Here is a 28,000-nt window from a genome sequence, read left to right on the forward strand (position 1 = left end):
CGAGTGGGTCGGGCCGTGGGTATGAGCGCTTGTGTGCGCTGGGGCCAGGTCGTGGGTGCCCCCACCCTTCCCCCATCCTCCTCCCTTCCCCACTCCACCCTCGTCGGTCCCCCACCCGCGCTCGTACGTGCGCCTCCGCCGGCAGCTCCTGACTCATCGGGGGCTCCGGGTCACATGCGCCCGCGCGGCCCTATAGGCGCCTCCTCCGCCCGCCGCCCGGGAGCCGCAGCCGCCGCCGCCACTGCCACTCCCGCTCTCTCAGCGCCGCCGTCGCCACCGCCACCGCCACCGCCACTACCACCGTCTGAGTCTGCAGTCCCGAGGTGAAGCCCCCGCCAGGCCCAGAGCCCCTGTGGCCCCCTCCCTTCGCCGCGGCGCCCCTGCCTCCTTTACCCGGTGCCGCTGCGCACCTCTCCGCATCTCTGGCCCGGTGCAGCTGCGCACCTGCTCCGCCGCCCGCGCCCAGGGCGCCTTCCCTCCCTGGCCTTCCCCGCCCGCTGCCTTCGCTTTCTGGCCCTCTGCGCGCCTATCTCTAACTGCGCCTCTCCACCCTTGCCTGCCTCTCTCCCGGTGCTCGCCCTCATCTACGGTTCTATTTGTTTCTAAGTTGGGAGCCTCTCCGGGCGGTGCATTTTTATCCTAGAGCGTCCCTTTTGGTTTGCATTTGGGGAAATGTCTTCTCTCACCGTTCCTCACCTCCCCCAGACTTCCCTTGGACTCCCCTCTCTCCTGCTCTTCCCCACGGCGCCCCTCTCCGTTCGCGCTTCCTCCCCTCTGCTGCACGGGGGAGAGATGGAAGAAGTGGGGATCTGTCGAGGCGCAGAGGGGAGGACAGGCCCAGCTCGCCTCCACTCCCCACCGGCTCTTATCCTCTTCACTTCCCGCTGCAACCCCCAGGGACTGCAGGGCCTTTCTCAGGACCCTCTTCCCCGACACCTGTATTGCATGCGCCTTTCGCGGGAAGAGGAGGGATACACGTTTGGGAGAGAGTGGGACCTTGGGGAAGGGGCAGTGTTCAGGCAGCTGGGGTGTTAAGTTGGGGAGGTATGGGGGCTCTGGAAGAGAGGCCCAGGCAGCCCATCCTCTTCTTGGCTCCCAGGAGAAATGCAAGCCTGGCAGCCATTCCGCTCTGAGGAGATCTGGGGGAACCCCACCGGCTGGCCAAGCTGCAAAGAGGCGCGGGAACCACTGTCGTGCCCCTCCCCTCCTCACTGCAGTGTTCTCCCATCTCATCATTTGATCTTACCCCGCCCCCCACTGCAGTGACCTCCCCTTCCTCACTGCATTGACCTTCTCCTCTTCCCAGGGGGGAGGGGGAATCCCTTCTACAGCCCTAGACTGCAGCCAGCGCCTCCCTACCCACCCCCCACCCACTGCAGTAACCTCTTTCCCATCCCTCCCAGCCTCCCGCCCCGCCCATTGATCTCAGGCTCCACCCCTCTAAGCCTCTTATCTTTCTCCTTCCTTCCCTTCCACCCGAGGAGATCCCAGCCATCATGTCCATAGAGAAGATCTGGGCCCGGGAGATCCTGGACTCCCGCGGGAACCCCACAGTGGAGGTGGATCTCTATACTGCCAAAGGTAATGGGTGTGGCATGGGCCTTCCTACAGCCCTAGCTTTTCCACGGCCAGGCTGGGTTCGGCCAGGGGTTCGGAGGCCTTTTTTGATACCCAGGGGTATGGGGTGCTGGGCCAGGCTCACAAGCCTGGGTTGTGGCGGTTGGATCCTCCTTGTCCGGGGAGCCAGGGTAGGTGGGTCTGTGTTCGAGTTTAGCGTGTGAGGCATGTCCTGCCTCCGTGTGTCTGCCTGTGCACTTGCATGTGTGCAGACGTGTGCTGCAAGCAATTTTCTTTCTGCGGGCTCCCACTTGTGCATGTGGGGCCTCAGATGGGTGGATGAGGAGGCCACTTCTTGTGCATCTGCCTCAGTGTGTGTGTGGGGTGGGGGTGGGGGGATGTTAGGGAGCAGTGTGGGGAGAGAGCTAGATGTGGTAGGCAGGCAGTTTAGAGCCAGAAGGCTGAAGGACTCCCTGGCCCCTGTGTCCTCTTCACTCCCTCTCATTCCATGTTCCTCCTTTAGGTCTTTTCCGGGCTGCAGTGCCCAGTGGAGCCTCTACGGGCATCTATGAGGCCCTGGAGCTGAGGGATGGAGACAAACAGCGTTACTTAGGCAAAGGTGAGGTCCCTTCTCTTTTCCAGACTCTCCCCCACCTCAGCCTTATGCCCCTACCTCACACCAGTCCCCAGTCCTCCTCTAGCATGGCTTCCCCTCCTCCCATTGATCCCTTCCGGCCCCTCCTGGCCCGACCCAGTCCAGCCTCTTCCTTTCCCCAGGTGTCCTGAAGGCAGTGGACCACATCAACTCCACCATCGCGCCAGCCCTCATCAGCTCAGTGAGGCCTGCTCTTTGCTGGGGATAGCAGGGCCAGAGTTCTGGAAGGAATCCCGGAGCAGGGCAGGAGGAAGGGAAGAAAGAAGGCCCACTCTTAGGAATCATGGTTACAAGGGGGAAGGGTGGGGAACAGCTTCCTTAATGCACCCTGCTCCCATGGGAGTTCAGGTCCCCTAATCCAGGTAGGCCCCTGTCACAGGGACCTGGTTGGACCCTGGCCAAATGTGAGCTTGGGTGTGAATGAGGGGACCCTCTGCCTTAGGGCTCAGCCTCCAGCCTGGCCCTGGGTGATGGAGGCTCTGCCCTCAGGGTCTCTCTGTGGTGGAGCAAGAGAAACTGGACAACCTGATGCTGGAGTTGGATGGGACTGAGAACAAATGTGAGCCGGGGCCGGGAGAAAGTGGGGAAGCGTCAGGGTGGGGAGGCGTGGAGCAGATAGAGAGCTGAAGGGCCAGTGCTGTAGTGGCTTCCTCAGGAATGACTGTCAGGGGCATTCTCCTCTCAAAGCCAGAGCAAGGGGAGATGAGTTTAGCTGCAGAGGGAAGGACCGACAGTAGGCAGAAGGAAGACCTTCTTTGCAGCATACAGAGGAGGGGGATGGCCTGAGAGAGTCTGTGGTCTCAGGGATATTTAGAAAGAGGTGTGGCTCTCTGCCGTTTCCAATCTCCTCCTCCCCACCCATTCCTCTCCCTGCTGTTTTCAAGAGAGCATGGATGAGGTGTTGCTGGGGCAGGGGTGGGGAGGGAGGAGGGGGTCTCCTTTACTGGCTCCTTTTGGAGACTACAGATGGAGGCAGGAGCTAGAAAGGAGAAGGGGACATTGTGCTCAGCACCTTCCTCTATAATCTCCTAGCCAAGTTTGGGGCCAATGCCATCCTGGGTGTGTCTCTGGCCGTGTGTAAGGCAGGGGCAGCTGAGCGGGAACTGCCCCTGTATCGCCACATTGCTCAGCTGGCCGGGAACTCAGACCTCATCCTGCCTGTGCCGGTGAGCAATAAGCCAGCCTGCGGCTCTCCCAGGGGCGGGTGGGGGAGGGAGCATGCAACTCATGAGGAATGATGGGAGGAAAGTGAATTGAGGGAGGTAAAGAGGAAGGATGGGGACGTGAGACTTAGTCCGGAAAGCTGGGGGAAGTTTGGGATCTTGGGTTAACACTCCTGGGGCGGGCAGGGAGGGGCTCTTTGACCCTTCTGTCTTTCTGTGGCTCCCCAGGCCTTCAACGTGATCAATGGTGGCTCTCATGCTGGCAACAAGCTGGCCATGCAGGAGTTCATGATCCTCCCAGTGGGAGCTGAGAGCTTTCGGGATGCCATGCGACTAGGTGCAGAGGTCTACCATACACTCAAGGGAGTCATCAAGGACAAATACGGCAAGGATGCCACCAATGTGGGGGATGAAGGTGGCTTTGCCCCCAATATCCTGGAGAACAGTGAAGGTGAGGCCAGGAGCCCCACTCCCAGCTCTAAGTCTTACCCTATTGTGGGACATCAGAAAGGGTGACACAGTTCACCAAGTCCTGAGTAGGCGTGGAGGGTCCTAGGACTCTGCAAACTCCAAAAGGTACCAGTTCTTAGAGTGGATTGCAGAGAGCCTGCCAAATTCACATGCAGACCTAGGGGGACAGTATTTTTTTTTTTTTTTGAGACGGAGTCTTGCTCTGTCACCCAGGCTGGAGTGCAGTGGCTCGATCTCAGCTCACTGCAAGCTCCGCCTCCCGGGTTCACGCCATTCTCCTGCCTCAGCCTCCCGAGTAGCTGGGACTACAGGCGCCCGCCACCACGCCCGGCTAATTTTTTGTATTTTTTAGTAGAGACAGGGTTTCACTGTGGTCTCGAACTCCTGACCTTGTGATCGGCCCGCCTCGGCCTCCCAAAGTGCTGGGATTACAAGCGTGAGCCACCACGCCTGGCCAGGGGACAGTCTTTTACCTGCCTAGCCAGATGTGTTAGCATCTGTTAAGTTGCCACTGGAAGGCCGGGCGCGGTGGCTCACACCTGTAATCCCAGCACTTTGGGAGGCTGAGGCGGGTGGATCACCTGAGGTCAGGAGTTTGAGACCAGCCTGGCCAACAAGGTGAAACCCCGTCTCTACTAAAAATACAAAAATTAGCCGGGCATGGTGGCGTGTGCCTGTAATCACAGATACTAGCGGGGCTGAGGCAGGAGGATCGCTTGTACCCGGGAGGCGGAGGTTGTGGTGAGCCGAGATCATGCCACTGCACTCCAGCCTGGGCAACAGAGCGAGACTCCGTCTCAAAAAAAAAAAAAAAAAAAAAAGTTGTCACTGGAGCCCTTGGGAATACTGGGAGATGGTCTGGATGACTGTTGGATTCATCCCATCCATTCGAAATCTGTCCTGTCCCCGTCCCAACCTCCTAGGCCTCTAGAATCCCTAATTTTTCTGTGCCTTGGGGGAAACTGTATAGGGAATGGAAAGAATATAGGTAGTGGTTAAGAGTTAAGGTTCTGGGGCCAAATAACCTGGATTTATTTGAACCTTGACTTGTGGAGTTACTGCTGGTGAACTTTCTTACTTCTCTCTGGAAATAATAACAGAATCTAGCTCATGGTAGTGTGAGGCTTAAATGAAATATATATAAAATGCTTAGATGACATGATACCAATGAAAGTATAGTAAGTATTATTAAGAGAATTCCATTCCTCTGTGTTCCTAGAAGATGGCCTCTCCTCCCAGACCTGGGGATAACCCCAACAGCATCCCCGCCACACTTCCCTCAGGAACAGCCCTCCACCTCTGCCCTGAATGTCTTTTCTTTCCCTCCTCCTCCTTGCCCATCCCTCCTGCTTGTACTATAATCTCACTGTATTCTGTCCCCAGCCTTGGAGCTGGTGAAGGAAGCCATCGACAAGGCTGGCTACACGGAAAAGATCGTTATTGGCATGGATGTTGCTGCCTCAGAGTTTTATCGTGATGGCAAATATGACTTGGACTTCAAGTCTCCCACTGATCCTTCCCGATACATCACTGGGGACCAGCTGGGGGCACTCTACCAGGACTTTGTCAGGGACTATCCTGGTGAGAGGAAGTGGTGTGAGGGGGAGGTCTGGGGGCAGGCAGGGACGTGTCCCAGCAACTCTGGACCTTATGGGGTGCTGACTCAGGCACCAGGTGGGGGTGTCCTAAGAAGAACCTGAGAACCAGGGAGAGGGTGCAGGAGCCACCTGCAAAGACTGGGCTTTGTATGTAGTGTAAAAATGCAGGTACCCGTGACCAATCTGTTCTGTCTCAGATCCTGATTAAAGTCATGGGTTCTGAAAACTACTGGGGTCATGGGGAAGGCTCTGGAAGGAACCAGGGATGATATGAGTGTGACTGGATCTAGCAGAGAACTAGAACATTTCAGTATCTTTGATTGATGAAATTGTGGATGCTGAATGGAGCTGGGACTGATGTGTGAGTAGAAAGAAGGCTGAGGGGGACTGAATTAGCTTCTGCAAGTCTGCCCAGGGCCTTTATCTCAGGATGGAGGCAGTTGGTCGCCATCTTCCTGACACAGAGCGAAAGAAAATCAACATAATTGCAGAATTAAGGATTTGGATTAGCAATGAGGAAGGGCTTGCTGGCAGTGAGAACAGGAAAATGCAAAGCTAGGTTGTGAACCCTTGTTACTGGAAGATTTTTTTTGGGGGGGGGGTGGGGTTGTTTTTTTTGTTTTGTTTTTTTTTTTTGAGACAGAGTTTGACTCTTCTTGCCCAGGCTGGAGTGCAATGGCGCCATCTCGGCTCACCACAACCTCCACCTCCCGGATTCAAGCGATTCTTCTGCCTCAGCCTCCCGAATAGCTGGGATTACAGGCATGTGCCACCATGCCTGGCTAATTTTGTATTTTTAGTAGAGACAGGGGTTTCTCCATGTTGGTCAGGCTGGTCTCCAACTCCTGACCTCAGGTAATCTATCCACCTTGGTCTCCCAAAGTGCTGGGATTACAGGCGTGAGCCACCACGCCTGGCTGGTTTGCTTTTAATTAACTTTTTTTTTTTTTTTTTTTTTTTGTAGAGACAGGGTTTAGCCATGTTGCTCATGGCTGGTCTCAAACTACTGGGCTCAAGTGATCTGCATGCCTCGGCCTCCCAAAGTGCTGGGATTACAGGCATGAGCCACTGTGCCCAGCCTATGGAAGTGGCGTGAGATCTCTGCTCACTGCACGATTCTCTTAGCCTCCCAAGTAGCTGGGATTACAGGCGTGCACCACCATGCCTGGCTAATTTTTGTATTTTTAGTAGAGATGGGGTTTTACTATGTTAGCCAGGGAACTCCTATCCTCAAGTGATCCGTTCACCTCAGTATCCCAAAGTGCTGGGATTACAGGCATGAGCCACTGTGCCTGGCCTCTCCATGTAAGGTTTTATGAAATAAGAATCAGGAGCCAGGCGTGGTGGCTCATGCCTGTAATCCCATTACTTTGGGAAGCCGAGGCAGGAGGACTGCTTGAATCCAGGAGTTCGAGACTGGCCTGGCAATACAGTGAGACCTCATCTCTACAAAAATTTTAAAAATTAGCTGAGTGTGGTGCCACACACCTAAAGTCCCTGCTACTCAGGAGGCTGAGGTGGCAGGATCACTTGATTGGGGAGGTGGAGGTTGCAGTGAGCTGAGATTGTGCCACTGCACTCCAGCCTGGATGACAGAATGAGGCTCTGTCAAAAAAAAAAAAAAAGTTAAGAATCAGTTAGGGCAGGCTTACACTGGGGGGATTTGTCTTAGCAAGGATGAGCAGGTGTAGTTAACCAAGGGCCTGTCCATTTCAGGGAATAAAGGGGCATGTTCCTGCCTGATGTAGAGACCCAGGGAAGATGAACACCTCCCCCCTCCCCACCATGCTCTCTCTGCAGTGGTCTCCATTGAGGACCCATTTGACCAGGATGATTGGGCTGCCTGGTCCAAGTTCACAGCCAATGTAGGGATCCAGATTGTGGGTGATGACCTGACAGTGACCAACCCAAAACGTATTGAGCGGGCAGTGGAAGAAAAGGCCTGCAACTGTCTGCTGCTCAAGGTCAACCAGATCGGCTCGGTCACTGAAGCCATCCAAGCGTGAGTGACTTCTGGCCCTCTCCTGTGTGGTCCTCGTTTCTATAAGACTCCTTTTGCAAGTGCTCCAGCCTAATTCTACCCAGGGGTGCCAAAGAGAGCGGGGAACCTGGAATCATCCTCACAGTTCTCTCACCTCTGCCCCTCCACCCCTGATTCTCTGCTCCCCTCCCAGATAGCTTTCCCCTAGATGTTTCCTGACATAGACCAAGGTTGGGGCTGGGAAGAGAGTGCCCAGTGTGAGAGCTGGAGAATCAGTGCTGTGTGTGGATACAGGTGCAAGCTGGCCCAGGAGAATGGCTGGGGGGTCATGGTGAGTCATCGCTCAGGAGAGACTGAGGACACATTCATTGCTGACCTGGTGGTGGGGCTGTGCACAGGCCAGGTGAGTGAGGCAGCCTGGTGAGTGAAGAGAACTCTCTGTGGGATTGGTATTTCTAGCTCACCCACCTGGTCTCTCCTTCCAGGTGTTTGAGGGTGTCAGGGGAGTTTCAGGAGAGCAGAAGTTTCCTTTCAGGGGTGAGAGGGCAGTCACTGAGCTGCAAATCCTTTGAAATGTTTCAGATCAAGACTGGTGCCCCGTGCCGTTCTGAACGTCTGGCTAAATACAACCAGCTCATGAGGTGAGGGTCCCTGGGGTGGGAGCCCCTGGCCCAGATGGCTAAAGGCCCCATTTGCCTGCCAGACCATCTGTAGCACCAAGGGCCTGGATAACAGTCCATTTCCTGGATAACAGTCCAACAGATAATATTGGTTTTTGCTTCCTGGGTTTATTGATGGCCTGATTGACAAATCCCAGAGATCACATGGGAAAGCCAGGGAATGCTAAGCCTTGGGGCAGGACACAAAAGCAGGTGGTGTGGGGGTGGTTGGAGTCTGGGGGACCCCTAGAGAGAGAAGCAGGATCCTCCTGCATCCCTGACCACTTCCTTTGTGGTTCATCTCTCTCAGAATTGAGGAAGAGCTGGGGGATGAAGCTCGCTTTGCCGGACATAACTTCCGTAATCCCAGTGTGCTGTGATTCCTCTGCTTGCCTGGAGACGTGGAACCTCTGTCTCATCCTCCTGGAACCTTGCTGTCCTGATCTGTGATAGTTCACCCCCTGAGATCCCCTGAGCCCCAGGGTGCCCAGAACTTCCCTGATTGACCTGCTCCGCTGCTCCTTGGCTTACCTGACCTCTTGCTGTCTCTGCTCGCCCTCCTTTCTGTGCCCTACTCATTGGGGTTCCGCACTTTCCACTTCTTCCTTTCTCTTTCTCTCTTCCCTCAGAAACTAGAAATGTGAATGAGGATTATTATAAAAGGGGGTCCGTGGAAGAATGATCAGCATCTGTGATGGGAGCGTCAGGGTTGGTGTGCTGAGGTGTTAGAGAGGGACCATGTGTCACTTGTGCTTTGCTCTTGTCCCACGTGTCTTCCACTTTGCATATGAGCCGTGAACTGTGCATAGTGCTGGGATGGAGGGGAGTGTTGGGCATGTGATCACGCCTGGCTAATAAGGCTTTAGTGTATTTATTTATTTATTTATTTTATTTGTTTTTCATTCATCCCATTAATCATTTCCCCATAACTCAATGGCCTAAAACTGGCCTGACTTGGGGGAACGATGTGTCTGTATTTCATGTGGCTGTAGATCCCAAGATGACTGGGGTGGGAGGTCTTGCTAGAATGGGAAGGGTCATAGAAAGGGCCTTGACATCAGTTCCTTTGTGTGTACTCACTGAAGCCTGCGTTGGTCCAGAGCGGAGGCTGTGTGCCTGGGGGAGTTTTCCTCTATACATCTCTCCCCAACCCTAGGTTCCCTGTTCTTCCTCCAGCTGCACCAGAGCAACCTCTCACTCCCCATGCCACGTTCCACAGTTGCCACCACCTCTGTGGCATTGAAATGAGCACCTCCATTAAAGTCTGAATCAGTGCACTGTTGTGTCTAAGGAGTCTTACTCTAGTCCCTATGAGGGGAGAGAAGATGGAGCACCTGGAAGCTGGTGAAACTGGATAGCAGAGCTGGGGGGGCACAAAAAGAGGAAGACAAACTGAACAAATATGGCCGAGATGATGGCACTGCCTACCCCATTCTGGCTAGGTGGGGTGCATGTGGCCCCTGCTTTCTTAGCAGAAGGCTTGGCTCCCAGACGCAGGTGAATTAAGGGGTTCAAGAGCCCCTAAAAGCATAAAATATTTTGTGTGTGTGTGTGTGTGCACGCGCATTTTGGGGGAAAGGGGGTCTAAGGTGTTTTCATATCCAAAGGGCTTGTGGACTGGAGCAGCTCCTGTACTGGGCCTCTGCCAACAAAACCCTGGCTGGTTCTCGAATGGAACAGGACTTCATGGCCATCACCCACTGCAAGATGGGGAAATGGGAAGGAAGAATGGTTCCGGGGGTAGTATACGGAAGGACCTAAGGAAACAGAGTCCTCAATAAACTGAAGATTCAGGAACAAAAGTGCTTAACAGAACCCTGGCTGGGTCAGACTAACAGTAGGTTTCCAATATGTGGCTAGAGACGTACTACTCCTTAGCTATAACTCGTTAACTCTTATGGGGCCTCAGCGTTGAGATGCTCATTCTAGGTACCCCCGAGGGGGACAAATCCCTTCCTAGTGGCTCGGATGCAAGGTTGCGTCCCACAGATAGGGTTTGCACATGGGAGATCTAACCACTAGAGGGAGTCAGAGTTTTGCAGGACGCCATACTGGACGCCAAGTGGGAGGAACTTCAAGGCTGTCCCCTGCGGGCCTCCCGCTCTGCTTCTGCGAAGGTCTGGTCCTGGCTCCCTCTGCCATCCTGCCCAGCTCCAAGGCTAAAATAGGTTCTAGTTCTGTATGGGTAGGGCCCATTTCTTTTCTTGCCCTCCTTCCCGGGTCCCTGACACCTCAGCCATTTTCAGTTCAAAGAGCCTCATGCCCCCTTTCCATTTCTGTGCCTTTTAGTTTCAGTGTGGGCATCTCATCTTTCCCTTTTCTCCTGGCGACCCTTTATGCCTCCCTTGGGGTTTCCTGTACTTTCCTCTGTGCCTCTCAGTTTTCTCTGGGGTCCCTGATACCCATCTTACCTTAGTAACTCCCAGACTGACCAGGACTATCCTAGTTTGAGCCTAGTTCCTAGCCTCTGTCCTTTCTTTCATCCCTCCTCACCAGGTCGCCTTCTCTGACAGTCTGGCCCCCCAACCCCCAAAGTATCGGGGTTGGATTGGGTTACAGCTAGCTCTGCCTGGGCCTCCCAGGCCCTTCTCTCCACTTTCCCTTTGTGCCGTTGCCTGGAGACCAATGGGTTGTGGGGGGCTGAGCCAGAGAGGGAGCTGGGGTGAGGGATGGCTGGGGCTGTGTGTGTGCGTGTGCGTGTGTGTGTGTGTGTGTGTGTGTGAGAGAGAGAGAGAGAGATGTCCCCTGCAGCTGGACTATAAGCCTGGCCCTCAGGTAGGGGAGGAATGGGAGAGGGTAGACAATGGTTTCTTTTGTGACTCTCACCATCCCCTATCCCCACATATGCCTAAATTTTTCTTTTAGTATCCATTGTAGCCCATTCCTTAGTGATTAAAAAACAAGGGAGAAGAGCTCAGCCTGGAAGGGATTTGGAAAGGGCTTGAGCCAAGGCCCAGTGGGAGACTGAACTGAGTGGTACAGAAAGAGAGGAAATGCCATGGGGAGAGAGGGTGAGAGGGAAAGGGGGAGCCCTGGAACAAAGTCAGGGGTGGGGAGGAGCAGCAGCTACCCTAGAGCAAGAGGAAGGGAGTCGGGGTGCACAGGGAGACAGGGAGCTGGCCTGGTCTCAGGGAGGCCCTGGGAGGAAGGTGTGCTTGGAGTGGTAAAGTGAGTGCCAACCAATTCAAGGGACTTCAGAGTGATGACTCATTCCCAGGCCAAGGAAGTGTTCCTGTTCCTGCGCCCAGTTCCCCAGTGCTCTGGAATCTTGTTTAGAGCTTTTGAGTATTCCCAGAACTTTGTTGAATCTGGCCCAAGGAATTGTGAGACAAAAATCTACTGAGCTGCTCCAGAGCTAACCTCCTTCCTTCCCTGAAGGCAGGTGGGATCTTGCCAATTCAGGGCCCACCCTTAGCCTCCAGCAAGACTGGCCCCACAAGTACCCGACCCCCACCCCAAATCTGGAGCTCTACTGAGGGCTCCTAATCCACACTCCAGCTCCAGCTCTTCCGGCTTGCCAGCCTGCCTCCCTCCCATTCTCTGGCCTTCCCAATTTCTGCTGCCAAAAATCACCCTGTGTCCTTTGTCCTGGGAGATGTTGCCGCTTGGTGGAGGGCCAGGAGGGAGCCCAGGAGAAGGAACTGGTGGTGGGCTGGCGGAGGTGCTGGCTTCACGGCCGGGAGCAGACTGACTGCCAGAGGCTACCTGGAGAGCAGGGGAGGGAGAGGAAGGGTTGGGAGGAGCCTGCAGTCTGTGGTGGGGACTGTCTCCACCTTAGAACAAGTGGGATTGAGCAACAAGGATACCCAGGGATTTGGGTCCACATTAAGCCCAGTCTTCACCCGACTGCTTCCCTGTGACCCAGGGGATCTTTAGTGATGACTTTCAACAGATTTGAGAAGGAAAATGGAGATGCCACTAGATGGAAGGCCTGAGGATGGTGTCTCACTCCTCCAAGCTGTATCCCTTACCTATCTACCCATGAGCTTGCCAGCAACCTCCCCCCGCTCCCACATCTGTCATTTCCTTTAACTGCCCTCGTTTCCCATCTCCATTTTTTCTTTTTTTTTTTGAGACGGCGTCTCGCTCTGTCTCCCAGGCTGGAGTGCAGTGGCGCGATCTCTGCTTGCTGAAACCTTTGCCTCCCAGGTTCAAGGATTCTCCTGCCTCAGCCTCTGAGTAGCTGGGATTACAGGCATGCGCCACCACACCCGGCTAATTTTTGTATTTTTAGTAGAGACGGGGTTTCGCCATGTTGGCCAGGCTGGTCTTGAACTCCTGACAAGTGACCCACCCGACTCAGCCTCCGAAAGTGCTGAGATTACAGGCGTGAGCCCCCGCACCGGCCCCATCTCCATTTTCTTTTCCCATCCATGATCTTTCCTCTTCCATACTGCCGCCAGCCATAGGCCTTGTTCAGCTTACATTTCCTTCCAATCTTCTTATCCCCCTCTTCCCCATTCTGCCCGCCCAAGTAAACCCTCCTCGGCTCTACTGGGAGCCCCCACCCCCAGGATCCAGCCAGCCCGGTGTCTCCCACCCTTCTTTCCCATCCAGAGCCCTCCTTTCTCACCCAGAACCTATTTTCCCTAGAATTGGCACCTGGGCCCACCTCGTTCATCCCTTCTTAAGGTTCCTCACGCGTTCCCTCCTCTCTCTCCTCACTGACGTTTCCTCTGGACTTCTCTCTCTCCAGCATTCCTTCATCCCCCCACCCCCAATTCTTATATTTATGACTCTTTTGTCAACACTAATCACCCCCAAAAGCTTTACTTTTTCCAGAAGCCCCATCTTTCTATATATGTCATCTTTTCAATTTTTCTCTCTCCTTATGACCCCAAACTTCCATCCCATTCTCTCTGATAATAGCCCCCAAACCCGTCTGGCTCCATCTCTGCCACAGATCCCTCACCCCAAGCTTCTCTCACTTCTCACCAGGCACCCACAAAGCCCCCAGGCAGCTCCATCTTTCCAATCCAATCCCATTATCCCAATCTCTACCCCAGGATCCCCCAAACTCCTCCCACTTCACCTCTGCCACAGACCCGCTCGCCCCCAAACTTCAGCCTCCCCTCATCTGCCCTCACCACCCACAGCCCCTCCTACCTAGCCCTCTCCCGCGCCGGGCCCGCGGGCTCCCCACATTCCGCCACGGCTAGCCCTCCCCGCGCCCCGGCCCCCTCGGCCTCGGCCTCGGCCAACTCGCGCTGCGCCTCCCCCTCTCCGGCTCCCCCTCTCTCCCCCCTCGCGGCTTGCCTCGCGCTCCCTCCCTCGCGTCTCCCTCCTGGCCCCTCTCTCCTCCGTTCCTCCGCGCTCCCTCCTTCTCCCTCTTCCTCCCTTCTCCCATCCCCCTCTCCCAGGCTCCCTCCCTTCGCCGTCCGCTTTCCTGTGCGAGTCGCCGGACGCACCGCCCAGCCCGTCCGCAGCCCCGCGCCGGGTCGGGGCCTCGGGCCGGGCCATTTCGGAGGGACCGCGGCTTCGGGGAGGGGCTAGGAGGGGGGAGAGGGAGCCGACTGCCGGGGAAGGGGCGGGGGCCGCGGGCGAGGCGGCCGAGGGGCCCGGGATCGCGCGGGTGCGGGCTGCGCTAGGCGGGCGCGGGCGGCGGCGGGTCGGAACCGCGCCGAGGGCCGGGCGGGCCGCGGGGCCGGGCGGCGCGGCGGGGGCGGGCGGCGCGGCCCGGGGCATTCCGGGCGGCCAGGGGGAGGCGGCGAGCCCGGGGAGGTGGGGAGCAGAGCGGGGATCGGGGTTTGCTCCGGGGGCCGGCGGGCGATTGGGGCCAGGCGGGGAAAAGGGGGGATGGGGGCCGCCCTCCGGGGGGGTCGGGGCCGCCGCCGCCGTCGTCGCGGCGGCGACTGAGGCCGAGAAGAGGAGAGGGGGGCGGGGGAGCTGCCGCCGCCGCCCCCCAGAGGCGCCGGAGCCCGGAATCCCGCTCGGAGCCAGCCAGCCGTCCCGAGCTACCAGCAGGTAAGGTCTGCGGCCGCCTGGGCCCCGGGCCCGCGGGGTTCTGTCCCGCCCGGGCTCCGGCCTGCGGCTCCCCACCCCCACCCCTCCCAGTTCCCCCTCCTGCCGCCGCCGCCTCCATTTGTTATTTTCCCAATCCCGTCCCCCCACTGCGGGCTCTGCCTGGCCTGAGGGCCGGGGGCTCAGGGGGTGGGGCCCGCCGAGGAGAGTCGGGGGCCAGGGTTTCGGGAGGATCGGGAAGGTGGGGAAGGAGGGAGGGTCTCCGGAGGAGGCCTGTGGGGCCAGAGGGTATCCGGGACCCGCAGACTCAAAAGAGGAGGAACATCGAGGCCGGGGTTGGCGGAGGAAAACGGGGGATGCTGTGAGTGGGGTTCCGGGCGAAGGCAGAATGGATAGGAGAGATGGCAGCGAGGTGGGGCATGAAGCCTCCAGGAAAAAGCTCCAAAGGACCAGAACACGGGTTCCGGAGCCTGGGGTTGGGGGCTTTAGGAATAGACGGGAAGTGGGAAACGGGAAAGGGGTGTGGTAGGTGGAAAGAGGGATTGTGGCTGATGAACCTGGGGGAGACGGAGGCTTGGGCAAAGAGAGGTCCATTTTTGAGAAGAGCCGGAGGTTTTCCAGCGTGGAAGAGGGAAGGCCATGTCTTTGTGACGGTTTTCATTCCCCTACTGCAGGTCACCTCTGACCCTGTTTTCCCTATCCCAGACATAGTTATTTCTTGGAGAGGGCACTGGGGCCCAGTAGTGTGGGTTATCCCAAAACTAGTGAGGAGGAAAACAGGAACACAGAAGGGGGAGTTGGGAAGAAAGGGGTTCTGGGAGGATGGAAATGGAGAATTGAGCAACCTTACAGGCACTCCAGGCAAGTTGCGACCTCCACCCTCCACCCTCCAATTTCCGGAGCGTCCGCTGCCCCTGGAGCTGTGATCTATATAGGGAGGCCTTAGTTACTGCTTTGAGCTCAAAGATCTCCCTTTGTGCATGGGCTTATTTTGACTAGGGTAGGTACCTTCAAGCTCCCTTACCTGAGGTGCTATAGGAGGGTAGGAGTTGCTTTGGCAACTGGGGTAGGGGGTAGCTGCCAGATGGACACCTGGGATGGTCTCTTGAGGGGCACCTTTTGCCACTGTGTTGCTATGGTAGTGATCCAGTGGGATGTCAGATTGGTTGGGGGGGCTTCGAATGTTTATTGGACCTCAGCCTGTGGCTGTCCTTGGGACTCTGGGCTGGGTTTTGGAGGTTGTTTCTGGATCTGTTGGTGGTTGGGAGTTTCCCCACGGTGTGCACCCTTTCATGTTGAAGTCTGTTGGAACAGGTAGATACGTTCCTTGCAGATCATAGGTGTTTCTCCAAGTCTCTCCACCTGGGCATGATGGGAGGATGAAAACGCTTCTGTTCAGGTTACACCATCTTTTGGCAGTTGGTTCTGACCTCTACCTCCCTTATTATGTTATTTTTTGTAGAGTTGTCTTTTTGCTTCTTTGCACTTTCTTTCATTTTCTAAAACTTGAATTCCTCTTTGAGCCTCCCTTCTTGAGTAACCCTTTTCCTCTTTCCCTCAACTAACCTTTGGCCTTCTTCCCTGACCTTGTAGAAATGGCTGGGCTCCCAGGCCCATCCCAGGTGAGGGTGGCCCAGGACAGAGGGCTGTGAAACAGCTTCATGCAGGGGAAATACTATAGAACAGGAGCCAGGAGACCTGTGTCTAGACCTGGCTGTGCCTCTGTGACCTTGGGCAAGTCACTTCTCTTTGAGCCTGGGCTTCATTGTTAAGATGAAGGGGCTATAGATGAGATGATCTCTGAGGCCTCTCTGAAGGTCCCGGATTCTCAGAAGGCTTAGGCCAGTGCATCGTTATCTGCTGGTCTGGGCTGCATTGTTATCTAGGAGTCACTTTGGACTGGTTTGTTAGTCTGGCAGGTCCAGAATGATGTTGGGGGCTGGGCCAATGATCCTGAAATTTAGCCTGCGAGCCCCTCCCAGAGAGCTTGTGACTCCACTGTATTCCTTCTGACATCCCATATTTCTCTCTTAATTTCTTTTCCTGTTCTTACTTAGGGGCTCTTTTTCTAGTTCTCACTTTCCTCCCAACCCAGTCTGGTCTTAATCATTTTCTTTTTAAAGTAAGGTAATGGCAGTGCGCAGTGGCTCACGCCTGTAATCCCAGCACTTTGGGAGGCTGAGGCGGGCGGATCACGAGGTCAGGCGATTGAGACCATCCTGGCTAACACGGTGAAACCCCGTCTCTAGTAAAAATACAAAAAAATTAGCCGGGCGTGGTGGCGGGCGCCTGTAGTCCCAGCTACTCAGGAGGCTGAGGCAGGAGAATGGCGTGAACCCGGGAGGTGGAGCTTGCAGTGAGCCGAGCCGAGATCGCGGCACGGCACTCCAGCCTGGGTGACAGAGTGAGACTCCGTCTCAATAAATAAATAAATAAATAAATAAATAAAATAAAGCAAGGTAATGAAGGTGAATGTGCTTAGTATGTGGCCAGATACAGAGTAGGTGCTCTGTAATATTAGTTACAGTGATTGCCTGCTAGGAGTGTAGGCTGGTGCTAAAACATGACCCAGGTCTAGAAAGACACACAATCCACCCCTAACTCCTTTCCTCGTCTGCCACTCCTTATCCCCAGGATTACTTGTTCTTTTATGACTGCTTTTCTCCTTCAAAGCTTCTCATTGCTAGTTTTTATCAGATTTCAGGTGATTAAAAAAGAAGGGCATACTATGATTGCTGTGTTCCTCAGGTACATTCCTGTGTTTCTCTGACCTTTTGGATCCCCTAACCTAACTGACTTGGTGAACAGGTTCTGTGATGGGGAAGGGAGATGGACACCCTTCTCTAGGAGGGCTGGCAAAAATACACCAATCACAAATAGTCATCTTTGTTGTGCTTTTTGTTTAAGATTGTTTTCCTCTTTTGCTATGGTGGGTGTTGTTCTTCGGATTTTTTTTTTTTTTTGGTTGATAGTATTTTAAAACCAGTCTACATAACAACTAAAAAATGTGGGAAAATAGCTGTAGTTGAAAAAAAAAAAAAAAAAAAAAAGGCCGGGCATGGTGGCTCACGCCTGTAATCCCAACACTTTAGGAGGCTGAGGCAGGTGGATCATCTGAGGTCAGGAGTTCGAGACCAGCCTGGTCAACATGGTGAAACTCCGTCTCTACTAAAAATACAAAAATTAGCCAGGTGTGGTGGTGTGCGCTTGTAATCCCAGCTACTTGGGAGGCTGAGGCAGGAGAATCGCTTGAACCTGGGAGGCGGAGGTGGCAGTGAGCTGAGATCATGCCATAGCACCTCCAGCCTGGGGAACAAGAGCAAAGATCCATCTCAAAAAAAAAAAAAAGGAAAAAAAAAGAAAACTAGTTGGCCGGGCACAGTGGCTCACGCCTGTAATCCCAGCACTTGGGAAGGCCGAGGCAGGCAGATCACCTGAGGTCAGTAGTTCGAGACCACCCTGACTAACATGGTGAAACCCTGTCTCTACTAAAAATACAAAAAATTAGCCGGGTGTGGTGGTGCATGCCTGTAATCCCAGCTATTCAGGAGGCTGAGGCAGGAGAATCGCTTGAACCTGGGAGGCAGAGGTTGCAGTGAGTGAGATCACGCCACTGCACTCCAGCCTGGGCAACAAGAGTGAAACTCTGTCTCAAAAAAAAAAAAAAAAAAAAAAAAAAAGACAAGTCTACTGGGCAGAGCATCAGTTGAAAGTTCAGAAGATAGGCTCTGTCCCAGCAATTTTGTGATTCTAAGTAAATTGTGAAGTTTCCTGGAAAGGTTAGACTCACCCCTTACTGCCTGCATCAGTATGGTTCCGTGGAGGTGAGTGAGAATTACTGTGTTTCTTGGGAAAAAATACACTACAGAATATGGACATGCCGTTTACCTAGCAGGCCTCCAACTCAGAATAGAATACATGGGTAAGCTTAGTCTGTTCCCACTGGAGCTAGCAGCACTTAATTCAGGAAGAAAGACCTACTGATGTTAGTGGGTTTAAAGGTCAATCACAAGAAGAGCGCACACACATCAGTGGAAAGGAAGAAAACAGTAAGAAAATACCATTTTTGCTCTCAAAAGATCTTACAATCAGTAATTTGGAGGGACTTGACACTTAGCAAGAAATACAAACAAGTGCAAATGAATACAGCTGGCTATAGGGATTTGGATAAAGATAGATACCTGCTGATAGACAGATACGGATGGATTGGCTGTGAGAAACTGTGTAACCCAGTCTACACCAAGTAGGAGGATAGGCTTAAAAACTGGTACATCTGTGTTGTTTGCTCACGGATATTTTGAGTCTTTAATCATTCATGTGAAAACCCTGACTTTTCCTCTAGCCTTAGGGAGCTCAAGTACTAGAGAATGGGTCCTTTATGGGGCTCTCAAAAATGAAGTTCTACAATTTGGGGCTACCTAGGTTTAGTCTTGGGATTGGTAGGGCTGTGTTCCTTTGTATTATAGAATGGGACATTCTTCTTCTACCTACTCTGATGTGAGAAAAGATTCTTTTCATATCTCTGTGACTGATCTAGGCCTTCTGAGAATTCTCCCCAGCAACTTCTGAGGAGAATACAGCAAAGTATAGAAGAAAGAGCATGGGCTTTGAAGTCACCGACATGGGTTTGATTCTGGCTCTGTCACTGGTTCCTCACTGTGTGAGGTTGGGCTAGTCACAATCACAATCTTTGAGCCTCAGTTCCCTCACCTATATAATGAGGGTAATAATGCTTACCATTCAGGGTTGGTTGTAAATATTAAATGAAATCATGTATGTGAAGGGCTTGATATAAAGAAGGTATTCAATAAATTCATACTTCAATGTCATTTCTTTTTTCTTTTTTTTTTTTTGAGACAGAGTCTTACTCTGTCACCCAGGCTGGAGTGCAGTGGCATGATCTCGGCTCACTGCAACCTCTGCCTCCCAGGTTCAAGTGATTTGCTTGCCTCAGCCTCCTGAGTAGCTGGGATTACAGGCACGTGCCACCACGCCTGGCTGGGTTTCACCATGTTGGCTAGGCTGGTCTTGAACTCCTGACCTTGTGGTCCATCCACCTAGGCCTCCCAAAGTGCTGGAATTATAGACATGAGCCACCATGCCCCGCTCCATTTCTTTATGTTCCTTTGTAAGGCTCCGTGGAATGTGTGTGTTCACAAATATCCTTTAGGGATCATGAAGGGTAAACTGTGTGATCTCCTGGATTGGGGCTTGTAGGTACATCCGAATTTTCTGCCCTCTACAGAGATGAAAGAGATTATACTTCGAGCAGAATCTGCCTCCCTTTTAGATAGCTAAGGTAGCCCATGGGGCATGCCAGCAATGTCTTGTGGTATCTGTACCTCTTGGCCCAAAGGCTTAGGGTTGGGCCGCTTGCTCAGTTCTCTGACAAGCAGAATAGTATTCCTTTGTGACTCTGTTCTCCAAGTTGGAGACTCTGATGGTTTCCTTCTAACAGGTTTCATTGAAAACAGATCCTGCAAAAGTTCCAGGTGCCCACACTGGAAACTTGGAGATCCTGCTTCCCAGACCACAGCTGTGGGGAACTTGGGGTGGAGCAGAGAAGTTTCTGTATTCAGCTGCCCAGGCAGAGGAGAATGGGGTCTCCACAGCCTGAAGAATGAAGACACGACAGAATAAAGACTCGGTGAGTTAAAATGAGAGACATGAAAGATGAGGGGCGGGGCAGGCAAGCTAGGAGGAAGGGTCTAGAGAAGAAGAACAAATAATGTGCACCATAAAGTTAGGTGCAATGTAAAGAACAGTGTTACCTACCTCCTTCCTCCTCCTGTAGATGTCAATGAGGAGTGGACGGAAGAAAGAGGCCCCTGGGCCCCGGGAAGAACTGAGATCGAGGGGCCGGGCCTCCCCTGGAGGGGTCAGCACGTCCAGCAGTGATGGCAAAGCTGAGAAGTCCAGGCAGACAGCCAAGGTATTCTGTCCTCAGGTCCTCCCACAGGATGCCCAAGGCACTGGGGCTGAGGGTGTGTGTGTGTTGTGGGGGAACTTCCTGTTTGGCAGAGGGTAACGGTGGAGCTCGGGAGGTAGGGAAAAGACAGGAATTTTCTCTTTCTCTCTAACAGAAGGCCCGAGTAGAGGAAGCCTCCACCCCAAAGGTCAACAAGCAGGGTCGGAGTGAGGAGATCTCAGAGAGTGAAAGTGAGGAGACCAATGCACCAAAAAAGACCAAAACTGAGGTGGGAAACCCTTGTCGCCATCCTGACCCATCTTGTGACCATTCTTTTCTCAGACTTGCTTATGCTCACTATTCTTAGCTGGATCTCTCCTGGGACATAAGAGAAAGGCCAGATCATAGTGCTTATGAGAGCAGTTCTGTCTATAATATGCCAGAGAGATTCTTAGAGCTTTGACAGACCACCAGATGACCAGGCAGGGCCAAAGGGGACCAGAAGAGTTGGGGGATTCTAGTCTCTGGGTGAGAAGTCTTAGTCGGAGGAACAAATAAATCTTAAGGAAAATGCAGAAGTGGTCTTTCTTTTTTATTGTTTTTTTTTGTTTGTTTGTTTTTGAGACAGTTTCGCTCTGTCACCCAGGCTGGAGTACAGTGGCACAATCTCAGCTCATTGCAACCTCCGCCTCCTGGGTTCAAACAATTGTGCCTCAGCCTCCCGAGTGGCTGGGATTATAGGCATGAGCCACCATGCCCGGCTAATTTTTGTATTTTTGGTAGAGACAGTGTTTCACCATGTTGGCCAGGCTGGTTTGGAACTCCTGGCATCAAGTGATCCGCCCGCTTCAGCTTCCCAAAGTGCTGGGATTACAGGTGTAAGCCTCTGTGCCCGGCCAGAAGTGGTATAAAAACCAAGGGCTTGGGGGATGGAGGATGGTTAAAGTGGTGGTTATGAGATGGTGGAAGACAGGGAGTTGGAGTCAGCTGTGGGTAGAGACAAGGTGCTTGAGATGGATCCTTGAGGAAGGAATAGGGTTTTACAGGCGGGAAACAAGACTGGCTGCTAGGGAGCAGCCAAGAATGTGAGGAAAGTGAGAAATCCCCAGATGGTAAGAGGTGGGCTTGAGCAAGAGTACTCACCACATCACAGTACAACAGTGTGCTGTGAGGGGAAATGATTTTATGCAAGAGAGCCCCAAATCTCAGGGAAGCAGGAAAGGAAAAGAGAAAAAATGAGTCTTCCCTTTTCTACAGCAGGAACTCCCTCGGCCACAGTCTCCCTCCGATCTGGATAGCTTGGACGGGCGGAGCCTTAATGATGATGGCAGCAGCGACCCTAGGGATATCGACCAGGACAACCGAAGCACGTCCCCCAGTATCTACAGCCCTGGAAGTGTGGAGAATGACTCTGACTCATCTTCTGGCCTGTCCCAGGGCCCAGCCCGCCCCTACCACCCACCTCCACTCTTTCCTCCTTCCCCTCAACCGCCAGACAGCACCCCTCGACAGCCAGAGGCTAGCTTTGAACCCCATCCTTCTGTGACACCCACTGGATATCATGCTCCCATGGAGCCCCCCACATCTCGAATGTTCCAGGCTCCTCCTGGGGCCCCTCCCCCTCACCCACAGCTCTATCCTGGGGGCACTGGTGGAGTTTTGTCTGGACCCCCAATGGGTCCCAAGGGGGGAGGGGCTGCCTCATCAGTGGGGGGCCCTAATGGGGGTAAGCAGCACCCCCCACCCACTACTCCCATTTCAGTATCAAGCTCTGGGGCTAGTGGTGCTCCCCCAACAAAGCCGCCTACCACTCCAGTGGGTGGTGGGAACCTACCTTCTGCTCCACCACCAGCCAACTTCCCCCATGTGACACCGAACCTGCCTCCCCCACCTGCCCTGAGACCCCTCAACAATGCATCAGCCTCTCCCCCTGGCCTGGGGGCCCAACCACTACCTGGTCATCTGCCCTCTCCCCACGCCATGGGACAGGGTATGGGTGGACTTCCTCCTGGCCCAGAGAAGGGCCCAACTCTGGCTCCTTCACCCCACTCTCTGCCTCCTGCTTCCTCTTCTGCTCCAGCGCCCCCCATGAGGTTTCCTTATTCATCCTCTAGTAGTAGCTCTGCAGCAGCCTCCTCTTCCAGTTCTTCCTCCTCTTCCTCTGCCTCCCCCTTCCCAGCTTCCCAGGCATTGCCCAGCTACCCCCACTCTTTCCCTCCCCCAACAAGCCTCTCTGTCTCCAATCAGCCCCCCAAGTATACTCAGCCTTCTCTCCCATCCCAGGCTGTGTGGAGCCAGGGTCCCCCACCACCTCCTCCCTATGGCCGCCTCTTAGCCAACAGCAATGCCCATCCAGGCCCCTTCCCTCCCTCTACTGGGGCCCAGTCCACCGCCCACCCACCAGTCTCAACACATCACCATCACCACCAGCAACAGCAACAGCAGCAGCAGCAGCAGCAGCAGCAGCAGCAGCAGCAGCAGCAGCATCACGGAAACTCTGGGCCCCCTCCTCCTGGAGCATTTCCCCACCCACTGGAGGGCGGTAGCTCCCACCACGCACACCCTTACGCCATGTCTCCCTCCCTGGGGTCTCTGAGGCCCTACCCACCAGGGCCAGCACACCTGCCCCCACCTCACAGCCAGGTGTCCTACAGCCAAGCAGGCCCCAATGGCCCTCCAGTCTCTTCCTCTTCCAACTCTTCCTCTTCCACTTCTCAAGGGTCCTACCCATGTTCACACCCCTCCCCTTCCCAGGGCCCTCAAGGGGCGCCCTACCCTTTCCCACCGGTGCCTACGGTCACCACCTCTTCGGCTACCCTTTCCACGGTCATTGCCACCGTGGCTTCCTCGCCAGCAGGCTACAAAACGGCCTCCCCACCTGGGCCCCCACCGTACGGAAAGAGAGCCCCGTCCCCGGGGGCCTACAAGACAGCCACCCCACCCGGATACAAACCCGGGTCGCCTCCCTCCTTCCGAACGGGGACCCCACCGGGCTATCGAGGAACCTCGCCACCTGCAGGCCCAGGGACCTTCAAGCCGGGCTCGCCCACCGTGGGACCTGGGCCCCTGCCACCTGCGGGGCCCTCAGGCCTGCCATCGCTGCCACCACCACCTGCGGCCCCTGCCTCAGGGCCGCCCCTGAGCGCCACGCAGATCAAACAGGAGCCGGCTGAGGAGTATGAGACCCCCGAGAGCCCGGTGCCCCCAGCCCGCAGCCCCTCGCCCCCTCCCAAGGTGGTAGATGTACCCAGCCATGCCAGTCAGTCTGCCAGGTGAGCGGCCAGGTGGGGCGGAGGTGGGCCTGGAAAGGGGACGACGACAAGGCGGCGACGAGAGAGGGAGTAGCAGGGAGGGGCCTTGCGCTGGTGTAGTGTTTTAGAAAAGCACGCCCCTCTCCTCCGTCCAGGCCTAGTGGCCAGTGAGGCCCGCAGCAGCTCACAGCCTGCAGGGGTGGTTTTGAGGCGGGGGCTACAAGCACTCGCCGGGGCCGCGGCGCTGCGGGCTCCATCGGGCAGCTCGCACCGCCTGAGCGCCCGCTGCTTCCACGCCCGGCAGGTTCAACAAACACCTGGATCGCGGCTTCAACTCGTGCGCGCGCAGCGACCTGTACTTCGTGCCACTGGAGGGCTCCAAGCTGGCCAAGAAGCGGGCCGACCTGGTGGAGAAGGTGCGGCGCGAGGCCGAGCAGCGCGCGCGCGAAGAAAAGGAGCGCGAGCGCGAGCGGGAACGCGAGAAAGAGCGCGAGCGCGAGAAGGAGCGCGAGCTTGAACGCAGCGTGGTGAGTGCGTCACTGCCTGCGCCACCGCCTTCTTTCCCTCTTTCCTTCCTTCCCTCTGCGCTGCGCTGCGCTACGCTACGCTGCGGGGCTGTGGCTGGGTGGGCGGGCGAGTCACGTCGCCACCTGTCGGAGGGGAGGTACCACTGCAGCCCAGGAAATGGAGCCCAAAAGGTTTTCAGCGAGAGCCATCTGCATTCCTGGGTTGGGAAAAGGCATGCTCAGATGGGACTACCTGTGGATCCCAAGAAGGGCAAATATTCGGGAGCGGGGGCCGCAGTTAAGTTCCAGGTGGGCAGAGTTTCAATGAGTTGAGGCATTTTGGCATTCGGCTGTCGAAACAAATGGGCAGCTTAAAACCAGCCACCTCTTTTCATAACTGCCGCTTTGACTCCACTTTTCCCTGTATCCCACAGAAGTTGGCTCAGGAGGGCCGTGCTCCGGTGGAATGCCCATCTCTGGGCCCAGTGCCCCATCGCCCTCCATTTGAACCGGGCAGTGCGGTGGCTACAGTGCCCCCCTACCTGGGTCCTGACACTCCAGCCTTGCGCACTCTCAGTGAATATGCCCGGCCTCATGTCATGTCTCCTGGCAATCGCAACCATCCATTCTACGTGCCCCTGGGGGCAGTGGACCCGGGGCTCCTGGGTTACAATGTCCCGGCCCTGTACAGCAGTGATCCAGCTGCCCGGGAGAGGGAACGGGAAGCCCGTGAACGAGACCTCCGTGACCGCCTCAAGCCTGGCTTTGAGGTGAAGCCTAGTGAGCTGGAACCCCTACATGGGGTCCCTGGGCCGGGCTTGGATCCCTTTCCCCGACATGGGGGCCTGGCTCTGCAGCCTGGCCCACCTGGCCTGCACCCTTTCCCCTTTCATCCGAGCCTGGGGCCCCTGGAGCGAGAACGTCTAGCGCTGGCAGCTGGGCCAGCCCTGCGGCCTGACATGTCCTATGCTGAGCGGCTGGCAGCTGAGAGGCAGCACGCAGAAAGGGTGGCGGCCCTGGGCAATGACCCACTGGCCCGGCTGCAGATGCTCAATGTGACTCCCCATCACCACCAGCACTCCCACATCCACTCGCACCTGCACCTGCACCAGCAAGATGCTATCCATGCAGGTGAGACCCCTCCTTCCTTGCCCTGGCCCTTTGGGGCCACCTTCCCCCTATCATGACTGGGCTCTTTCATTCCTATGGCCAAGACTTTCCTCCCCTGGCCTGGCATGAACCTTTCCTGAGATTGCTGCCCTGAACTTTGCCTCCCTGACGTTCTCTCAGCCTTGTCTTCTCATGGCCTTCCCTGGCCACAAAGCCTGTATGCCCCACAGCCCAGTTCTCTCCATAGTCTAGTATCCTTCCCATGACAGAGGCCCACACGGGAGCTTTTGAAGGACACTTTTCTATTCTCACAGCCCCATTCTCCCAAGCCCTTCACAAACCTGTCTTCTTATTTATTTTTTTGAGACATGGTCTGGCTCTGCCACCCAGGCTGGAGTGTAGTGGCGCAATCACAGCTCACTGCAGCCTCGACTTCCCGGTCTCAAGTGATCCTCCTACCTCAGCCTCTGGAGTAGCTGGGATTACAGGCGTGTGTCACCATACCTGGCTACTTTTTGTATTTTTGGTAGAGACGGGGTTTCGCCATGTTGGCCATGGCTGGTCTCAAATTCCTGAGCTCAAAGCGATCCACCCACCTCGGCCTCCCAAAGTCCTGAGATTACAGGCGTGAGCCACCGTGCCCAACCCACAAACCTATCTTCTGATTTCTCTGGATTCAACTCATTTTTTGCCATTTTCTCCTCTTCTCCCTCTGCGAGGTCTTTCATGTTTTTCCCCATCTCTAGATCTGTAACTTTCTAGAAAGGGCCCTGTAGCTTTGGGTTTGGGTGTCATAGGCGATAATGAGCTTTACTTACTATCCTTTCACCATTTTTTGGTTTTTGAGACGGAGTCTCGCCCTGTCACCAAGCTGGAGTGCAGTGGCGCGATCTCGGCTTACTGCAACCTCCGCCTCTGGGGTTCAAGTGATTCTTCTGCCTCAGCAGGCACTGCCTGCCCGAGTAGCTGGGACTGCAGGCGTGTGCCACCAAGTACAGCTAATTTTTGTATTTTTAGTAGACACGGGGTTTCACCATGTTGGCCAGGATAGTCTTGATCTCTTGACCTTGTGATCCACCCGCCTTGGCCTCCCAAAGTGCTGGAATTACAAGCGTGAGCCACCGCACCCGGCTTCCTTTTTTTCTTTTGCCCAGACTGGAGTGCAGTGGCGCGATCTCGGCTCACTGCAGCTTCCACCTCCCAGGTTCAAGCGATTCTCCTGCCTCAGCCTCCCGAGGAGCTGGGACTATAGGCGTGTGCCACCCTGCCTGGCTAATTTTTTTGTATTTTTTGTAGAAACAGGGTTTCACCATCTTGGCCAGGCTGGTCTTGAACTCCTCACCTCAGGTGAGCTGCCTGCCTCAGCCTCCCAAAGTGCTGAGATTATAGGCTTGAGCCACTGTGCCCGGCCTCTTCTTGTCTTATTTTCTAAACTTCTATCATCTTCCACCTTCTTCACGCAGTCTACCTCTCTCTGTCCTTCCCCTCAGACCCTTCTGATGACTGTAATCTCCTGTCCTGTGTCATCCATATGTCCCTCCTCCAGTAGGGCTCAGCCTGTCCACCCCTGCCAGGCCTCTAGTTCTTCCACTCTGCCTTTGTTCCACTTTGGACCTCCTTGTGTTTGTCTGACTCAGTTCCCAGGCTTGGATCCCTTCACCCAAATGCATGGTTTGCCCCAAACCTGCCTTCTGGTGACACCTTCCTCTTCTCTGCCCTCCAGCCTCTGCCTCGGTGCACCCTCTCATTGACCCCCTGGCCTCAGGGTCTCACCTTACCCGGATCCCCTACCCAGCTGGAACTCTCCCTAACCCCCTGCTTCCTCACCCTCTGCACGAGAACGAAGTTCTTCGTCACCAGCTCTTTGGTAAGGATGGAAGTTGGGGTAGGCAGCTCCAATGAGAAAAGGGCAGAAAGGAGGTATTTGGGTGGGGGGATGGGCCTAGTTGGGCTTGGGGAGGGATGAGGAGGTGCCTAGAGGAGCTGGGCATGGGAATAGGAGAGCTGGAGCTCTGCCCAAGAGAAGCACGAGTTTTAGTGTCAGCCTAAGAGGTTCGAATCCCAATTCCACCCTACCACTGGCAACTTACAGAACTGGGTGTGTTACCTCACTTTTTAGTTCATTACCTTTGTATGTAAAGGAGCTGGCTATCCCCTGGTCCAGAGCAGGTACTTGTTATCCGTTGGTCATATGCCCCTTGCCCTTCCTGCTCACAGCTGCCCCTTACCGGGACCTGCCGGCCTCCCTTTCTGCCCCGATGTCAGCAGCTCATCAGCTGCAGGCCATGCACGCACAGTCAGCTGAGCTGCAGCGCTTGGCGCTGGAACAGCAGCAGTGGCTGCATGCCCATCACCCGCTGCACAGTGTGCCGCTGCCTGCCCAGGAGGACTACTACAGGTACCCTAGGGTGCCCCAGCCCAGGGGACATGGGCTCAGCGAGCCTGGGAGGAGCTGTGGGCATGGTACGGCTGGGCACCGTGCTCCTGGGGGAGGGAACCCCTCCTCTCCCAACCCCTTCGGTAAGAGGGGGCAAGGTCAGAGTTGGTCTCAAGTCTCTTACCTCTCTGCTATGCACTGCCCCTTCCCTAGTCACCTGAAGAAGGAAAGCGACAAGCCACTGTAGAACCTGCGATCAAGAGAGCACCATGGCTCCTACATTGGACCTTGGAGCACCCCCACCCTCCCCCCACCGTGCCCTTGGCCTGCCACCCAGAGCCAAGAGGGTGCTGCTCAGTTGCAGGGCCTCCGCAGCTGGACAGAGAGTGGGGGAGGGAGGGACAGACAGAAGGCCAAGGCCCGATGTGGTGTGCAGAGGTGGGGAGGTGGCGAGGATGGGGACAGAAAGCGCACAGAATCTTGGACCAGGTCTCTCTTCCTTGTCCCCCCTGCTTTTCTCCTCCCCCATGCCCAACCCCTGTGGCCGCCGCCCCTCCCCTGCCCCGTTGGTGTGATTATTTCATCTGTTAGATGTGGCTGTTTTGCGTAGCATCGTGTGCCACCCCTGCCCCTCCCCGATCCCTGTGTGCGCGCCCCCTCTGCAATGTATGCCCCTTGCCCCTTCCCCACACTAATAATTTATATATATAAATATCTATATGACGCTCTTAAAAAAACATCCCAACCAAAACCAACCAAACAAAAACATCCTCACAACTCCCCAGGAACATGGCTGTGACTAT

The 28,000-nt window shown here is 55.2% G+C and overlaps 2 protein-coding genes and 1 long non-coding RNA gene across 10 annotated transcripts, besides 12 other annotated features; 2 read left to right on the forward strand and 1 right to left on the reverse strand.

Annotated features, from left to right (window-relative positions):
* Positions 27-516: a silencer, noted in NCBI's record as "silent region_4192". NCBI's record gives its function as "represses an Ori minimal core promoter by ATAC-STARR-seq in GM12878 lymphoblastoid cells {active_cell/tissue: GM12878}" and the evidence as "EXISTENCE:reporter gene assay evidence [ECO:0000049][PMID:35858748]".
* Positions 48-238: a silencer, noted in NCBI's record as "fragment chr12:7023548-7023738 (GRCh37/hg19 assembly coordinates)". NCBI's record gives its function as "represses an EF-1alpha promoter that drives an FKBP-Casp9 reporter gene in an ReSE screen in K562 erythroleukemia cells {active_cell/tissue: K562}" and the evidence as "EXISTENCE:reporter gene assay evidence [ECO:0000049][PMID:32094911]".
* On the forward strand, positions 244-9,361 carry ENO2 (enolase 2). The gene is made up of 12 exons (NM_001975.3): positions 244-323; positions 1,485-1,581; positions 2,081-2,176; positions 2,335-2,393; positions 2,702-2,771; positions 3,245-3,378; positions 3,604-3,826; positions 5,230-5,427; positions 7,245-7,446; positions 7,720-7,828; positions 8,008-8,066; positions 8,395-9,361. The coding sequence occupies exons 2-12, from the start codon at positions 1,497-1,499 to the stop codon at positions 8,462-8,464; spliced, it is 1,305 nt and encodes a 434-aa protein (NP_001966.1). The 5' UTR covers positions 244-323; positions 1,485-1,496; the 3' UTR covers positions 8,465-9,361.
* Positions 595-1,236: an enhancer, noted in NCBI's record as "H3K4me1 hESC enhancer chr12:7024095-7024736 (GRCh37/hg19 assembly coordinates)". NCBI's record gives its function as "activates a minimal SCP1, AML or CMV promoter by ChIP-STARR-seq in primed H9 embryonic stem cells {active_cell/tissue: H9 hESC(primed)}" and the evidence as "EXISTENCE:reporter gene assay evidence [ECO:0000049][PMID:30033119]".
* Positions 1,237-1,876: an enhancer, noted in NCBI's record as "H3K4me1 hESC enhancer chr12:7024737-7025376 (GRCh37/hg19 assembly coordinates)". NCBI's record gives its function as "activates a minimal SCP1, AML or CMV promoter by ChIP-STARR-seq in naive H9 embryonic stem cells {active_cell/tissue: H9 hESC(naive)}" and the evidence as "EXISTENCE:reporter gene assay evidence [ECO:0000049][PMID:30033119]".
* Positions 7,996-8,085: an enhancer, noted in NCBI's record as "active region_5891". NCBI's record gives its function as "activates an Ori minimal core promoter by ATAC-STARR-seq in GM12878 lymphoblastoid cells {active_cell/tissue: GM12878}" and the evidence as "EXISTENCE:reporter gene assay evidence [ECO:0000049][PMID:35858748]".
* On the reverse strand, positions 8,194-13,360 carry LOC124902868 (uncharacterized). Of its 2 annotated transcripts, none has more exons than XR_007063194.1 (2): positions 13,191-13,360; positions 8,194-11,789 (listed from the first exon to the last, which is right to left on the reverse strand). It is a non-coding gene; the product is annotated as an uncharacterized LOC124902868 (long non-coding RNA). The 2 variants fall into 2 exon arrangements; XR_007063195.1 differs by having other exon boundaries at positions 9,333-11,789; positions 12,697-13,360.
* Positions 10,107-10,807: an enhancer, noted in NCBI's record as "NANOG-H3K27ac-H3K4me1 hESC enhancer chr12:7033606-7034306 (GRCh37/hg19 assembly coordinates)". NCBI's record gives its function as "activates a minimal SCP1, AML or CMV promoter by ChIP-STARR-seq in primed H9 embryonic stem cells {active_cell/tissue: H9 hESC(primed)}" and the evidence as "EXISTENCE:reporter gene assay evidence [ECO:0000049][PMID:30033119]".
* Positions 10,123-27,985, forward strand: ATN1 (atrophin 1). Of its 7 annotated transcripts, none has more exons than NM_001424176.1 (10): positions 10,123-10,859; positions 19,504-19,692; positions 19,840-19,977; positions 20,129-20,242; positions 21,211-23,225; positions 23,509-23,731; positions 24,145-24,841; positions 26,544-26,687; positions 27,038-27,218; positions 27,411-27,985. In NM_001424176.1, exons 2-10 carry the CDS (start codon positions 19,666-19,668, stop codon positions 27,442-27,444), a joined length of 3,573 nt encoding a protein of 1,190 aa, NP_001411105.1. In that variant the 5' UTR covers positions 10,123-10,859; positions 19,504-19,665; the 3' UTR covers positions 27,445-27,985. The 7 variants fall into 7 exon arrangements, with proteins under 7 accessions (NP_001411105.1, NP_001007027.1, NP_001411108.1 ...); NM_001007026.2 differs by having other exon boundaries at positions 10,123-10,201; NM_001424179.1 differs by having other exon boundaries at positions 10,123-10,201; positions 19,520-19,692; positions 21,214-23,225.
* Positions 11,508-12,207: an enhancer, noted in NCBI's record as "NANOG-H3K27ac-H3K4me1 hESC enhancer chr12:7035007-7035706 (GRCh37/hg19 assembly coordinates)". NCBI's record gives its function as "activates a minimal SCP1, AML or CMV promoter by ChIP-STARR-seq in naive H9 embryonic stem cells {active_cell/tissue: H9 hESC(naive)}" and the evidence as "EXISTENCE:reporter gene assay evidence [ECO:0000049][PMID:30033119]".
* Positions 13,232-13,281: a silencer, noted in NCBI's record as "silent region_4193". NCBI's record gives its function as "represses an Ori minimal core promoter by ATAC-STARR-seq in GM12878 lymphoblastoid cells {active_cell/tissue: GM12878}" and the evidence as "EXISTENCE:reporter gene assay evidence [ECO:0000049][PMID:35858748]".
* Positions 13,462-13,621: a silencer, noted in NCBI's record as "silent region_4194". NCBI's record gives its function as "represses an Ori minimal core promoter by ATAC-STARR-seq in GM12878 lymphoblastoid cells {active_cell/tissue: GM12878}" and the evidence as "EXISTENCE:reporter gene assay evidence [ECO:0000049][PMID:35858748]".
* Positions 22,381-22,437: a repeat instability region, noted in NCBI's record as "repeat instability region; expansion of the (CAG)n trinucleotide repeat is associated with dentatorubral-pallidoluysian atrophy". NCBI's record gives the evidence for it as "EXISTENCE:polymerase chain reaction evidence [ECO:0000082][PMID:8136826, PMID:7951323]" and "EXISTENCE:Southern hybridization evidence [ECO:0000078][PMID:9050922]".
* Positions 22,381-22,439: a tandem repeat, named in NCBI's record as "atrophin 1 repeat instability region".
* Positions 23,193-23,262: a silencer, noted in NCBI's record as "silent region_4195". NCBI's record gives its function as "represses an Ori minimal core promoter by ATAC-STARR-seq in GM12878 lymphoblastoid cells {active_cell/tissue: GM12878}" and the evidence as "EXISTENCE:reporter gene assay evidence [ECO:0000049][PMID:35858748]".

Source organism: Homo sapiens, chromosome 12, assembly GCF_000001405.40.
Source record: "Homo sapiens chromosome 12, GRCh38.p14 Primary Assembly".
Classification (NCBI taxonomy): domain Eukaryota; kingdom Metazoa; phylum Chordata; class Mammalia; order Primates; family Hominidae; genus Homo; species Homo sapiens.